The 13,837-nt window shown below is 57.3% G+C and overlaps 1 protein-coding gene across 4 annotated transcripts in view, besides 6 other annotated features; it reads right to left on the bottom strand.

The window, feature by feature from the left end:
- The window catches only part of GSE1 (Gse1 coiled-coil protein), a 506,689-nt gene that overhangs the window by 429,648 nt on the left and 63,204 nt on the right, over nucleotides 1-13,837 (bottom strand). The window lies entirely within an intron of this gene.
- Nucleotides 5,138-5,842: an enhancer, noted in NCBI's record as "H3K27ac-H3K4me1 hESC enhancer chr16:85274317-85275021 (GRCh37/hg19 assembly coordinates)". NCBI's record gives its function as "activates a minimal SCP1, AML or CMV promoter by ChIP-STARR-seq in naive H9 embryonic stem cells {active_cell/tissue: H9 hESC(naive)}" and the evidence as "EXISTENCE:reporter gene assay evidence [ECO:0000049][PMID:30033119]".
- Nucleotides 7,177-7,752: an enhancer, noted in NCBI's record as "H3K4me1 hESC enhancer chr16:85272407-85272982 (GRCh37/hg19 assembly coordinates)". NCBI's record gives its function as "activates a minimal SCP1, AML or CMV promoter by ChIP-STARR-seq in primed H9 embryonic stem cells {active_cell/tissue: H9 hESC(primed)}" and the evidence as "EXISTENCE:reporter gene assay evidence [ECO:0000049][PMID:30033119]".
- Nucleotides 10,467-10,786: a silencer, noted in NCBI's record as "silent region_7803". NCBI's record gives its function as "represses an Ori minimal core promoter by ATAC-STARR-seq in GM12878 lymphoblastoid cells {active_cell/tissue: GM12878}" and the evidence as "EXISTENCE:reporter gene assay evidence [ECO:0000049][PMID:35858748]".
- Nucleotides 11,057-11,106: a silencer, noted in NCBI's record as "silent region_7802". NCBI's record gives its function as "represses an Ori minimal core promoter by ATAC-STARR-seq in GM12878 lymphoblastoid cells {active_cell/tissue: GM12878}" and the evidence as "EXISTENCE:reporter gene assay evidence [ECO:0000049][PMID:35858748]".
- Nucleotides 11,617-12,474: an enhancer, noted in NCBI's record as "H3K4me1 hESC enhancer chr16:85267685-85268542 (GRCh37/hg19 assembly coordinates)". NCBI's record gives its function as "activates a minimal SCP1, AML or CMV promoter by ChIP-STARR-seq in primed H9 embryonic stem cells {active_cell/tissue: H9 hESC(primed)}" and the evidence as "EXISTENCE:reporter gene assay evidence [ECO:0000049][PMID:30033119]".
- Nucleotides 12,557-12,723: a silencer, noted in NCBI's record as "fragment chr16:85267436-85267602 (GRCh37/hg19 assembly coordinates)". NCBI's record gives its function as "represses an EF-1alpha promoter that drives an FKBP-Casp9 reporter gene in an ReSE screen in phorbol 12-myristate 13-acetate-treated (for megakaryocytic differentiation) K562 erythroleukemia cells {active_cell/tissue: K562(+PMA)}" and the evidence as "EXISTENCE:reporter gene assay evidence [ECO:0000049][PMID:32094911]".

Here is a 13,837-nt window from a genome sequence, read left to right as displayed (position 1 = left end):
CCTGCACAGCTGCTAATCACATCTCCTGCAGACAGCGTCGGGGGGGGGGGGGTGTGTAGAGTGTGTGTGTGTGTGTGTGTGCAGCGTGTGGGGTGTGTGTGTGTGTGTGTGTGTGTGTAGAGAGCATGGGGTGTGTGTGTGTGTGTGTAGACAGCGTGTGGGGTGTGTGTGTAGACAGCGTGTGGTGTGTGTGTGTGTGTGTGTAGACAGCGTGTGGGGGGTGTGTGTGTGTGTGTGTGTGTAGACAGCGTGTGGGGTGTGTGTAGACAGCGTGTGGGGTGTGTGTGTGTGTGTGTAGACAGCGTGTGGTGTGCGTGTGTGTGTGTGTGTGTGTGTGTGTGTGTGTGTGTGTAGGGTCCCTGAAGCTGGGGCATCCTGCAGTAGGGCCTCCACGGCACCCCATGTCCACCAAACTCCCCAGGAAAACACGGGTGCTAGTGTGTGTGGTCTCAGGTTTCCTGCAACTCACAAGCATTCACACAGTCACACACAGATGCTCTGCACACTAACACATGCAGACAACCCCCAACACACACACACGCACACACCCCTTGCCTCCCCACTAACACACCCAGACAGCCCCCCACACACACACGCCCTGCTCCCCAACTAACACACGCAGACACCTCCCCACACACACGTAGACACCTCGACACACACGCACACACACACACGCACACGCAGGAGGCAGAACTCCCAGTGAGGACCAGGAAAGTTCAGGGTTGGGTTTTGGTGCCACCTAGAGTCCATGTCCTGGAACTGCCAGAGCTGGACAAGGCACCCCCCAGGCGGTGCCCACAGTCTTGCCGTCCCCCTCTAATCAGAGGACACTTTTTTTCTATTAAAGGTCCCCAATCTGTTACGAGTCCGGTTCATACAATTAACTGGAAGAGATAGTAAGGACTATTTTAAGAGTTAAAACGTTTAATGTAACCGCTTTTCAACAAGATTAGGGCATGAAACTTTATATCCAAGAAATCCAATCAAAAGGGGCAAGAAAAGAGGGGAAGTGCTTTTAAACACAGCCAGTCAGGAAGAAGCTCCTTCTCCAAGGATGACGGGACAATGACGACAGCAACAATAATAATAGGACACATGAATGGGTATGTGTCAGGCAGAGGCTCTGCCCCTGGACCAGGTGGAAACGCAGCATGACGTCCACACACAGCAAGCGAACTTCCCTTCACCATGCTCCCGGCAGAAAGTCTCGGGAGGGTGATGCTCTGACTTCAGTGCCTCTCGAATACTAGCCAATCTCCAGCTTTAATAGCAGGGCAAGGGCTGCGGCTGAGAGATATCAGAAGCTATAATATCAGAAATTTCTCACTGGCTACCTTTTATTTATGGTGAGTGGAGCCAGGGGTGTTTTGTTTTGTTTTGTTTTGTTTCTTGAGACAGGGTCTCACTCTATCACCCAGGCTGGAGTACAGTGATACAATCATAGCTTACTGCAGCCCTGAACTCCTGGGCTCAAGCCGTCCTCCCACCTCAGCCTCCTAAGTAGCTGGGACTACAGGCATGTGCCACCACACTCGGAAAAAAAATTTTTTTTTTTTTTTTTTGAGATGAAGTCTCACTCTGTTGCCCAGGCTGGAGTACAGTGGCACGATCTCAGCTCACTGCAACCTCTGCCTCCCGGGTTCAAGCGATTCTCCTGCCTCAGCCTCTTGAGTAGCTGGGACTACAGGCATGTGCCATCACGCACGGCTAATTTTTGTATTTTTAGTAGAGACAGGATTTCACCATGTTGGCCAGGCTGGTCTTGAACACCTGACCTCAAGTGATCCACCGGCCTCGGCCTCCCAAAGTGCTGGGATTATAGGTGTGAGCAATTGCACCCAGCCCCAGATAATTTTGTATTTTTGGTAGAGATTGGGGTCTCACTATGTTGCCCAGGCTGGCCTCGAACTCCTGGGCTCAAGCGATCCTCCTGCCTCAGCCTCCCATCGTGCTAGGATTACATGCGTGAGCCACTGCACCTGGCCTGGTTTTTCACGTATAGTTGCATTCATTTCCTGTGGCTGTTGTAACAAATGATACCAACTTAGTGTCCTAAAATTAATTTTTCTTATTAAAACACAAATTAATTTTCTTATGCATCTGGAGGTCAGAAGTCTGATAAGGTCTCCTGGGCTAAAATCAAGGGCTCAGGAGGGCTGTGCTCCTTCTGGAGGCTCTAGAGAAACATCTCGTTTCTTTTCCAGCTTCTAGAAGCCACCTACATCCCTTGGCTCACGGCCCCTCCCTTCCACCTTCAAAGCCAGCGATGCCAGGTGAGTGCCTCTGGCATCCCACCTCTCTGACTCTCTTCTGCCTCCTCTCCACTTACAAGGACGCTGTGATTACACTGGGCCCACCAGCATAATCCAGGGTTAATTCACAGCCTTAATTCCACCTGCAACCTTAATGCCCCCCACTTTTTTTTGGAGTCAGAGTCTTGCTCTTGTTGCCCAAGCTGGAGTGCAATGGTGCAATCTCCGCTCACGGCAACCTCTGCCTCCCAGGTTCAAGCAATTCTCCTACCTCAGCCTCCTGAGTAGCTGGGATTACAGGTATGTGCCACCACACCTGGCTAATTTTGTATTTTTAGTGGAGATGGGGTTTCTCTATGTTGGCCAGGCTGGTCTCAAACTCCTGACTTCAGGTGATCCGCCCACCTCGGCCTCCCAAAGTGCTGCGATTACAGGCGTGAGCCACCGTGCCTGGCCAACACATGATTTTTTAAAAGCCAAACAGTAGAAACAGTTAAAAGTGAAGGTTGCTTGGACTCCCCAAAAATGACCATGGTGGATCCTTCCTGTGCATGTTCCCCAAATCTGCCACGCGTCCACACATGCACAGATGCGTCCACACACATGCTCACCTGCCAGGACAAACCACGGCGCACCAGACACAAAGCCTGCTCCGTGCTCCTCCACTCACAACATCTCTGGGAGCTCTTTCCACCCCAGCTCCTGCTGCTGCATAGAGGCCAACACTTGGCTCCTGTGGTTTATTTCCCAGCCCCGCCTTCCAGGAGGGCATGTGCAAGGCTCCTGGGATCGCTGCGTGCACCCGGCAGCAAGCAGCCACACGCCACCGCCTTCTTCAACACAGGCCGGGATGCCAGGGACACAGTTTCAGCAGCAAAACTGTGAGCAAAGGAGTGTGTGTCCCCGTTTGGGGTAAGCCCCACTGCCCGTGTCCTTCCCCTCACAGGCACCCTTTAGAAGCAAAGAGATTCTCCCCTGTAGCCCCCAGAAAGAACCTGCTCCACTGGCACCTTGACTGTAGCTCGGCCCAGCAAGAATGATTTTGCACTTTGGACTTGCAGAACTGAAGGATAATAAATGTGTGTTGTTTTAAGTGCCAAAGTGTGTGGTCATTTGTATCAGGACCACACACTTTCCAAACTGATACATTTGTGTGTCTCCTCGGGGGCTGCATGTTACTCACCTGAGGGATGGGCGCAGAGGCTTATGCCTGTAATCCCAGCACTTTGGGAAGCCAAGGAAGGAGGATTGCTTGAGCCTAGGAGTCCGTGACCAGCCTGGGCAACACAGCGAGACCCCATCTCTGTAAAAATTTTTAAAAATTAGCTGGACTTGGTGGTGTGCACCTGTAGTCTCAGCTACTCAGGAGGCTGGGGTGGGAGGATCACTTGAGCCCGAGAAGTCAAGGCTGCAGTGAGCCATGATCACACTACTGCACTCCAGCCTAGATGACAGAGCAAGACCTTGTCTCAAATAAATAAATTAATTAATTTAATTTAATTAAATAAAACAGGGTCACCTAGAGAACTTTGCAAAGATGTCCAAGCCCAGGCTCCACCCCAAGCCAATTACATCAGAATCCCCAGGAGCAGGGCCAGCATTTCTAAGGAGCAGTGGGGTCGGGGTCGCTGTCGTATACCTCCTGTTTCCAGAGTCCCCATCCAGCCCTCCCTGCTTTGGGCAGGGGCTGCTCCCTCAAGCCCAGCAGGCACGGCTGTCCTGGATGGGCCTCAGTGCACCCATCTGTAAAGCGCTGGTGACAACGCTGTCCACACTGTGCTGCTATGAGTTTAGAAGAAGGACCAGTGCAAAGTGGCCGAGCACAGGCCCTGCCCTGCGGGGCACCGACAGAAAGATGGAAGGTGGCCTTCACCAACTGCTTGGCTCCACGTGGTCCTGCTGACCACACTGACCCACCCCTTCCTGCATGGGGGTGCGGGGAGGGTGACACATCACCTGTTTGCAGGCCCTGGCCAGCAGGGACAGACCCCGAGGGCTGCTGAGCCTCTGGCAGAGGGGAAGCAGGAGGGCGGCTGCTTGCAGGGGGGCTGGGGTGAGCAGAGGATACTGAAGCTTGTGGACAGAAAGGCATTACACTCTTCTTTGGTGCCAGGAGAGGAAGCGAGGGCCTCTGCAGGCATCCACAGGGCGAGATGCCTGGCGTGTGATGGGCAGTGAATCTGTAATGCCAGTGAGCACCAGCACAAATCACTTGGGGACGTGGGACTCTTGCAGCTCCTGAGAGTGGAGGGCTCAGGGCAGAGGCAGGGACACCAGGACGGTGTAGCAGGGAGCAAGGGAACCTGGCTGACCCCAGGTGCAGACAGCAACTGGGAGAGATGAGCAGCTTCGGAGGGGCCAGCTCCCTCCCCTCCCGGCAGCCACCATGAAGGGAGGACAGGATGCCCAGTGTGGGCTGGGGGTGCCCGGGGAGGGGGTCTATTGTGTAGGCCATGAGATACCATAAAGGGCATCGGCCACTCTTAGTCCTAAAGTGAGTACAGGAGGAGAGATCTGGGAAATAAAGTCCTTTGAATCCCAGCTGGGAGCCACACCGCCTCCAGGAAGCCCTCCCACACCACCCTAGGAGGGCTGAGTACATAAAGCGCAGGGTTTCAGAGTCATGCAGACCTGAGTTTGAATCCCTGTTCGGTGGCTTACTAGCTGAGTGACATATTCCTAAATCCAGGCACTGGGAGACCACACCGGGTAATTGACAGAGTTTATTCAGAGACTCACCAAGGCCCCCTCCCTGCGGTGTGAGGTAAAGGTTTAACCACCAGCTTTCTGAAAAAAAATAACCAACTCCAGCTTGCAGTACCCGCCCATTTCCCTGGTGTAAACACTCCCACCACAGCAGACTGCAAGCTACCAGCATGAAGCCATGCAATGCCCACTTGGGAAAAGGTGGGGCAGAGACAGAGAGGGCCTGGGAGGTAGCACAGGGAAGCACACCCTCAGGGGGCAACTGCCAGGTGCCAGGGCCTATGCTGGGTGCCCCAGCACCGACTCCTCACCACAGCCCTCTAGGGTGAAAACCATCAGCCCTGCTTTTACAGACACAAAGAACTGAGGCTCTGGGAGGAGAAGCAACGAGCCCAAGGTCTCGCAGCCGAGCCCAAGGTCACGCAGCCGAGCCCAAGGTCACGCAGCTAGGAAGTATCAGAGCCAGGTTCAAGCTCAGGTCTGTCTCAGAGGAAGAAGGAGGCTCGTTTCACGGGGAAGCCTGGCTAAAGCCTTGAAAACCATGACAGGCATCCATGGAAGATGGAAACGGCCTCCTCCAGCCTCCAGACTGGACTGAGAGACACCAAGGCCTAGGGTGGCAGCTTTCAAGGGGGCATTTTTTCTAGGAGGGAGCTAGCAGGATGGGAACACATCTCTCCATGACTTACAGAAAGGCGTGTTTCTGCTTCCCTGGGTCCTGCGTCCAGCCTCTCTGCTCCCCGACTGTGCTGGAATCATAATTACCTGGGACCCCCCAACCCAGCACCAGCCTCTGAATACAATTCAGCCAAGAGAGACGAAGTCCTGAGCGCCCATTCTGACACCCTCAACTGTCACTCTGCTCAGGACAATGGCAGTCCTTATGGGCAGCATGCCAACAGTGGCCCCGAGGAACCTCGCAGGGCGCACCCAGGCTCCAGCTCTTCATGACCCCTCCATGCACCATCTCGTTTAAGTCTGGGAGACCCCTAGCAGCGGGAACTACCATCTTCCCCTCACTCCAGGTGAGGCTCAGAGAGCCTCAGTGACCGGCCCCTCGCCCCTGCCAGGACTCCTGGGCTGCGAACCCCAACAGGGAAGCTGGCAGGAAAGGCCAGCAGCAGCCCCAGGAGAGACGTTGATGAGGAATGCAGGGGTCGGAAGTGCCGGATGCTGACACTCCACCCCCCTCCCCCTTGGTGGGGGTCTGGTCTACCCTGAGGGGGCCTGAGCCAACTGAGGGGCTCTGGCTGTGGCTGTGCGGCTGGGGAAGGGACCCAGAACCAGCAGGGAAGGTGTGGGATTCCAGCTGGGGAAGCCCCTGGGCTAATGACTGGGGAGGAGGGAACAGGTACAGAGAACACCCTGGGCACCCACGTGTCATCAGAACAGTGACAACGGCCAAGCATCACATTCCTATTAACTTATTTCATCTTCACAAGAACGCTTGGAGAACAACACCTATGTCCCACTTTACAGATGAGCAAGTTGAGGCTCAGAGAGATTCAGTAACTTGCTTAAAGCCACGCACTGGCGGCGCCACAGGGCTGCAGGCTCACTCTAGGCCCTTGAGCCAGGGTTGTTCTACCAGGCCACAGACATTTACAGTGAAGCGCACACAGTTCAATGTCAGGCCTGATGCTCTGATGCAGAAGGATGCACCCCGTTACCAGCAGACCAAGACCAAAAACATTTCCAGACCTAAGGTGGCAAATCAGACTTTCCGTTGGTTTGGGATCTGAGATTTTCAGGATTTCAGTATCGGATTTCAGGATCCAGAACTGGGGTGATCAAGATGGAGAAGAGATTTCTATTGAATCATGACAATATGGCAGAATCACAGCCCCGGTGGGACCCCCAACCCTGGCTGTGTCCCTGTGTCTCCCCAAGGTCGGGTATGGAGTTACCCGGAAGAGCCCTCACTAGGAGCTGGGAGCCGTGGGGCCCGCCCTGGCTCTCCAGCTCTCACCTCTCCCAGCCTCATCTCCTGCAGCCCAGGTTAGGTGGGAAGGTGCTTAGTCCTGAAGGCATGGTAGCACCAGGATCCTGAGGCCAGGCTCCAGGAAAGGCTTGCAGGTGGAGCCCAGGGGGACTCAGGGCAGCCGTGCAAGGACAGGTCAGTGTCCCTTCTCAGAGCTCTTGAAGCAGACGGTCCTCCTCACCCCTGCAGCGCCTTCCACCAAGCTCCCCAGGGAGGGATCTCTGCCAGCTTTGCTCACATGCCCTGCCTCACACCTGGTGCTCAATACCTGCTTGTCCCCAGAGGCAGCCACCTTGCACTAGGAGGGTCTTTAAATGCCCAGCTCTGGCCACCGCCCCCATTAACACCTTCCAATGACTTTCGCTAAAAAAGGCCACTGCCAGGCCTGGCGTGGTGACTCATGCCCATAATCCCAGTACTTTGGGAGGCAGAGGTGGGTGGATCACTTGAGGTCGGGAGTTCGAGACCAGCCTGGCCAACATGGTGAAACCTCAACTCCACCAAAAATACAAAAACAAATTAGGGGGGCGTGGTGGCGGGTGCCTATAATCCCAGCTGCTCGGGAGGCTGAGGCAGGAGAATTGCTTGAACCCGGGAGGCAGAGGTTGCAGTGAGCCGAGATCGCACCACTGCACTCCAGTGTGAGCAAGAACGAGGCTCCATCTCAAAAAAAAACAAAGAAAATGCCACTGTCCTCCCCAGGCCCGGGTGTGCAGGTGGCGTCAGCAGGTCTAGCACACAGTAGATGCTCATTAAGTATCTGTTGGAGGAAGGACTGGAAGGAAGGAGCCCTGTGGATGAATAAGTTAGGGGAAGGGTAGCTTGGTGGCAGTGGAAAGAACAGGAGCCCCCCTATCCTGACTGAGGGTCCCCCACCCTGACTGATGGTCCCCCACCCTGCTGAGCGCCCCAAGGGCTGGCTACAGCAGGGAGATCCTGCGGCAAGCCGCCTGGAGCCTTCCTCTACCCCAGCTCCGACCCAAACCCTGCCTGGCTCCTCCAAGGGGGAGTGCAGAGGCTGGCGGCCCCAGTGGGGGCAGAGCTGAGCGAGCAGAGGCAGCCAAGACAAGCAGAGAGGCTTCCAACGCCCCTTCCCAGGACACACGCCGAGGCCAGGGCGGCCCTCACGCAGGCTCGGGATTCCGCCTGCAGAGCCCGGAGCCAAGGGCTGACGAAACTGCAGCACCAGCCCCCACCAGGCTACCGCTGCAGGGGTGCGGGGGGCAGAGGATGTCTCCGGAACACCGCCCCCCTTGGATGGCTGCCTTGGTGAGAGGCGATGGTTCTGGAAGAAAAACAAACAGGCACTGAGGGAGAAGGAGGTAGGCAGCAGATGCTGGAGGGGGACTCTGTCTGGGGATGTGAGGGCAGGCTGGCACACCCTCCCTAACCCCGTGTGTGGGGAGAACCTGGGCAGAGAAAACATCAATAGCAGGACGCCACCTCCCGGGGTCTTCCTGCACCCACCCACCCCCAGGCCTGTGTTGGGTCCAACAGCACCACAGGCCATGTGGCCCAAGGCAGAACCTCCAGCCTCAGCTCCTCACTGCCCTCCTCTCTCCACTGCCCCTACCCAGGGCCAAGCCCTCTGCATTCTTCCCTCAGAACCCTTCACTCATTCATTCATTCATTCATTCATTCAACTAGTGATGAGCAAACTCCTACGATGTCCCAGGCCCTGTTCATGACGCTGGGGTTGGAGCAGCAGATAGGCCCGTCTTGCCACAGGGAGGTTTCATTCACTCACTTTCTTTTTTTTTTTCTTTTTTTTTGCGGGGGACAGAGTCTTGCTCTGTCGCCCAGACTGGAGTGCGGTGGCGCGATCTTGGCTCACTACAAGCTCCGCCTCCTGGGTTCACGCCATTCTCCTGCCTCAGCCTCCCAAGTAGCTGGGACTACAGGCGCCCGCCACCACCCCTGGCTAATTTTTTGTACTTTTAGTAGAGACGGGGTTTCACCTTGTTAGCCAAGATGGTCTCAATCTCCTGACCGCGTGATCTGCCCGCCTCGGCCTCCCAAAGTGCTGGGATTACAGGTGTGAGCCACCGTGCCCAGCCTCATTCACTCACTTTCAGTGGCTCCCCAGTACCTTACGGAGAAGCCAAACCCCAAGCACGTGCTGTCAATCCCCAGCTCGGAACTCCCTCCCAGGACTGTAGCCCCACCTCTGCCCTCCAGTCACTGAACAGTCCCCTGCAGCGGGCACCGTGCTCAGCTCACACCTCCTCTACCAGGTGTAGGGCTCTAATGCCATTTCTATTGTTTTATTTATTTATTCATTCATTTATTCTGAGACAGTCTCTTGCTCTGTCGCCCAGGCTGGAGTGCAGTGGCGCGATCTCAGCAAACTGCAACCTCCAGCTCCCGGGTACAAGTCATTCTCCTGCCTCAGCCTCCCGAGTAGCTGGGATTACAGGCGACCGCCACCACGCCTGCTAATTTTTCTATTTTTAGTAGAGGCGGGGTTTCACCATGTTGGCCAGGCTGGTCTCAAACTCCTGACCTTGTGATTCACCCACTTCGGCCTCCCAAAGTGCTGAGATTACAGGCATGAGCCACGGCGCCCAGCCCATTATTCTTTCTGGAAGTCTCTTTCATCCTCTGTGAGACACCAGCTTGAAATGGAAACCCTTGGGGTGGTGACAGTGGTCATAAATGCACTCAGGGTGCAAGTGACTCACAGTTCATTCGGGGAGTTCTGCAAGGGCAGGTGGCTGGAAGTTGTGAGGTCTAAGGAAGGGATGGTCGGGGGGAGCCAGGCAGAGGTCCCAAGGTCCCAGGGGGCCTTGTAGGTACAGGGGAGGCACACCTTAGAGGTATTACAGGCAGCAGGAGTTGTTCCCTCATAATCTCTGGGGCACTCTACCCAGGCTGGAGAGAGAACTTTGGCCAGGACTCCACAGGCCACTCTCCTGCTCAGGAACCTTCAATGGCTCCCTATGACTCAACCACAAAGTCCAAAGAAATACAGGCTGTTGGGACCCAAGAGCAGGCATTCACAGCCTTCAAGCTGGCCCAACCCACCCCCAGGCCTATGCACACACTGTTCTCTCTCCACACCATGAGACACACGGAAGGTACCCACACCCAGGCCTATGCACAGGCCGTTCTCCCCACAACGGGAGTCACACATGATGTGCTTGCCTCCGCTCATTCCTATGCCCCCAGTGGGACCCCAAGTCTCAGAGTTTTTAGCCCACTGGGCCAGAGGCCCAGACCCAGCCAGGGCCATGCAACTTGGGGGATGTGAAAATGAAGCTCTGTGGACTTGACCACACTCAGATCCTTATTTGACTTTTACACAGAAGTCAGCATCTGTTGTGCCACAGCTCGCACCACGGGGGCCAGCCAAGGTGCCCTAGGACCCGGCCCTTCACCCCTCCGGGCCTCAGTTTCTCCCTCCGTACTATGGGGGCCCCAAGAGCCGGTCCCAGCCCCCACCAGGAGAAACCCGAGCCCGGCCGCCCTCTTTTCCGGTCCGGTGGCCCAGCTTACAGCCTGCCCGGGAGCCACACAGGCAGCCAGGGAGGGAGGAGCCGGGAAATCCGGGAGGGGCGGCACCAGCCCCAGCCCCAGCCCCAGCCCCAGCCGCAGCCCCAGGCCCAGCCTCAGCCCCAGGCCCAGGCCCAGGCCCAGGCCCGGCGCCGGAGGGGGCGCCGGCTGCTGCAGCCTCGCTCCCCAGATGCGCGCATTCCTGGAAGGTAGCGCCCGGCCAGCGCGGGGGCGGGGCGCGGGCGCCGCTGCCAGATGTGCATCGCGAACAGCTGCCCCGGCGCCCGTAAGGTCAGCTCCTGGCTCCAGCCAGCCGCGCTCACCGGCCGGCGCCTCGCCCGCCTGGCACCCGCCACGCTTCCTGGGGCGGGCGGGCCCCCCACCTCCTAGTCCCGCCGCAGAGGGGAAGGGGCCAGAACGCCACCCAATGGTCTGGGGGAGGGGACGGAATCCAACCCCACCCTCGGGGGGAGGAGGGGGGACGAGGAGTATGAGCCCCACCCCCGTGGTGGCAGAGGAGGGGCGAGAACACGCGCCCCCCCCCCACCCACACACACACATATAGTCCCTTTATCACCCCCTCATCCAGGTCTGGCCAGGAAAGACCTCTCTGCAGTGGGAGGGAGATGGGAGGCCAGAACACACCCCCTACACACACACACACACACACACACACACACACACACACACACAGTACCCTTCCATCACCCCCCTCACCCCACCCCCCGCTGCGGTCTGGAGAGGAGAGGCCTCTCTGAGGTGGGAGGGGGGTGAGGGGGCCAGAACCAACCCCTCTTCGCCTGGGGAGCCGTCACCCCCCAGCAGTGGGGGAAGAGGCCAGCCCACCCCCGCCTGGCAGCCAGAGGCGGCCGGGGGGTTGGGAGCTTGTTCTGATTTTGTTTTATTGGATGTTTCCTTTCAGTAATTGAGAGCCCCAGCCTGGGGAGAAAGGACACCCCTATTTCGAGCTGGGCGGAGCTGCCTGGGAGGGGCAGCGGTGAGGAGTCTGGGGCCCCTAGGACCCCTGCCCCTCCACCTCACCCCACCCAGGAACACCCCGCCCCCATCTACAGATGTCTGGTCCCATCTCTGAGGGTCCTGGGGATGCGAGGAGCCAGGAGGGGGATCAGGGCCCAGATTGGCCTCTCTCTCTAGTATCCGGGTCTCCGGCGGGGCCCAGGGCAACCCCCGCCCCTCCGCAGTAGATAAAGGCGCCGGCAGCCGCCTTTGTTTCTTTGGTGTAAACTGAGCCAGATGCCTTCTAATCCCCCAGCTGGGCCGTATTCGCTGGCGGCCGCGGCTCCCACCGCCTCCACCCCACCCGCCAGCATTCCCAAGGCTGCCGGCTCCTCCCTGCTGCTGCGGGGGCGGAGCCGGGGCGGGGCCGGCATCCTCAGCCTCTCCCCTGGTCCAGCAGAGGGTCAAGGGCAGTGTGAGGCCAGCGGCTTTGAGATCTGCCCTCCTGGGCCTCCTGGCGTTGGGAACGTCACAGGGCCTCCCTGAGCCTTGGTTTTCCTGTCTGTAAATTGGGAATGAGGACACAGCCCACAGGGATGGAAAGTGCTTGGCAGGCATCTGTTACCCTTAGTGGGATCCGCTAGCTCAGAGCCACCCCGCCCCACCTAACCGCCCATCCGTCTCCAGGGCAGAGAATAGCAATGGCAGGAAACGTCACTATCCAGAGTTGCTGCTGGAGCGGTCCCTGTGCTCACTCACTCCTTCCATGAGCCGGAGAACCTGGGGAGGTGGTGCTCATGTGATCCCCACTGTACAGACCAAGACCAAGATGGTGGAGCCCAGAGAGGCCCCAAAGCTAGTAAGAGAGGAGACTCTGGTTTCAAAATGAGGCAGTAGCCCAGAGAGGTAAAGTGACTAGCCTAGCATCACTCAGCAAAAGGGAGCCAGGGGATGGGTATCTAAGGGGCAAATATAGGAGGGCGGGGAGTGGATACCTTCCTGGCCTGCACCAAGACTCCCTTGCAGCACTAGGTGGGTTCTTCAAAGCCCACCAGAACCAGACGCCTACAATGGTTGTTAAAATGCAGATTCCCTCGCCCTGGTCTTGTCCTATTGAACCTGAGTTCCCAAGGGGGCCTTGGAATCTGCTTTTGTTATATAGGGGCTGGGGGGCTGGTTCTGGGGCCCATTCAGGTTTGAGGAGCCGCCTTCTGTGCTCCTGCCCATGTGATCCCTGCCATGTGTGGACAGGGGGCAGGGGTAGGAGGGCCCTGGGACAGAACAAACCTGTGTCGGCTCCAAAGGGGCTCCCTACACCTCCCCAGGCCACTTGGGCTGAGCAGGCAGCCTCACCTGGGCTGGTCCAGCCAGGAGGCCAGCAAAGTGCCAGCTGAGAACCTGCCAGGAGCGTCTGATGGATGCCTGCCTCCTTCCAAAAACCATTAATCATTCCAAGAAAGTCCCTGTCAGTGTGTCTGTTCCCACTGCCTCCACCACCCATCCACACGCACACCCCCCATCCACACACACCACATGCACACACACACATGCAGAGGCCACACATGCAGACGCCACGTGGACACATATCACACACCGCATACATGCAAGCATCCAGACACTGTACAACATGTGTGCATGAACATACATGAACACACAGGCACATGTGTGCATATGCAGCTGTCAGAGCAGTTCCCACCCCTCAGGAGGAGAGAACGGGGCCCTGGAACTGTTCTAAATTTCCCCAAAGGCCGAACCACCCCGCCCAGCCTCCACCTGAGGGCTCCAGCCTGGCTCCAACTCAGGTACCCTTGATTTTGGTGACAATTCTGTCAACCTAGCAGGCACTGGGCTGTTCACCCCACGCAAACACCTGGTGGGTGGATAGTGATTTGATTAAGAAGACGAAATGATGCAATGAATGAGTGCTTGGCTGACAAACGAGGCTGGGTAGACACCTCGCCTTTGCAGGCACAGGGTCCCACGAGGGAAACAGCAAGGGGGACTGTCGGGGATGAGAAGACCAGGACTGGAGCTGCCTCTGCATTTCATTCAAGAGGACAAGGCCCAGCTGGGGGGCCTGTTTGGAGCCATGGGGCTAGCAGCCCCAGCAAGGCCACTGGGACCAAAGCAAAGGTCTCCCTGCCCTCGACTGCCGACTGCCATCTCTGACCTCAGCTGCCCACCTTGACGCCCACGTGGCCCCCGCCATGTGGACCTTGCCCAGGCTCATGCACTTTGCACGCTCACACCTGGAGCCATTCATTAATTCACACCTGGGACCATTCATTCATTCATTCATTTGGATCAGAAAGAATCCTAACATAGGGTTGAGATCCTGAAAATGCAACCTGGGTGGAAGGAAGCTAAGAAAGCTGGGGTGGTCAGCGAGGCCTCCGGGAGGAAGTGGCTTTTGAGCTGAGACTTGGAGCTGGCGCTCTGGGCAGAAGAG

Source organism: Homo sapiens, chromosome 16 (assembly GCF_000001405.40).
Source record: "Homo sapiens chromosome 16, GRCh38.p14 Primary Assembly".
NCBI classification, from domain to species: Eukaryota; Metazoa; Chordata; class Mammalia; order Primates; family Hominidae; genus Homo; species Homo sapiens.
This window is presented reverse-complemented; position numbering and strand designations above follow the sequence as displayed.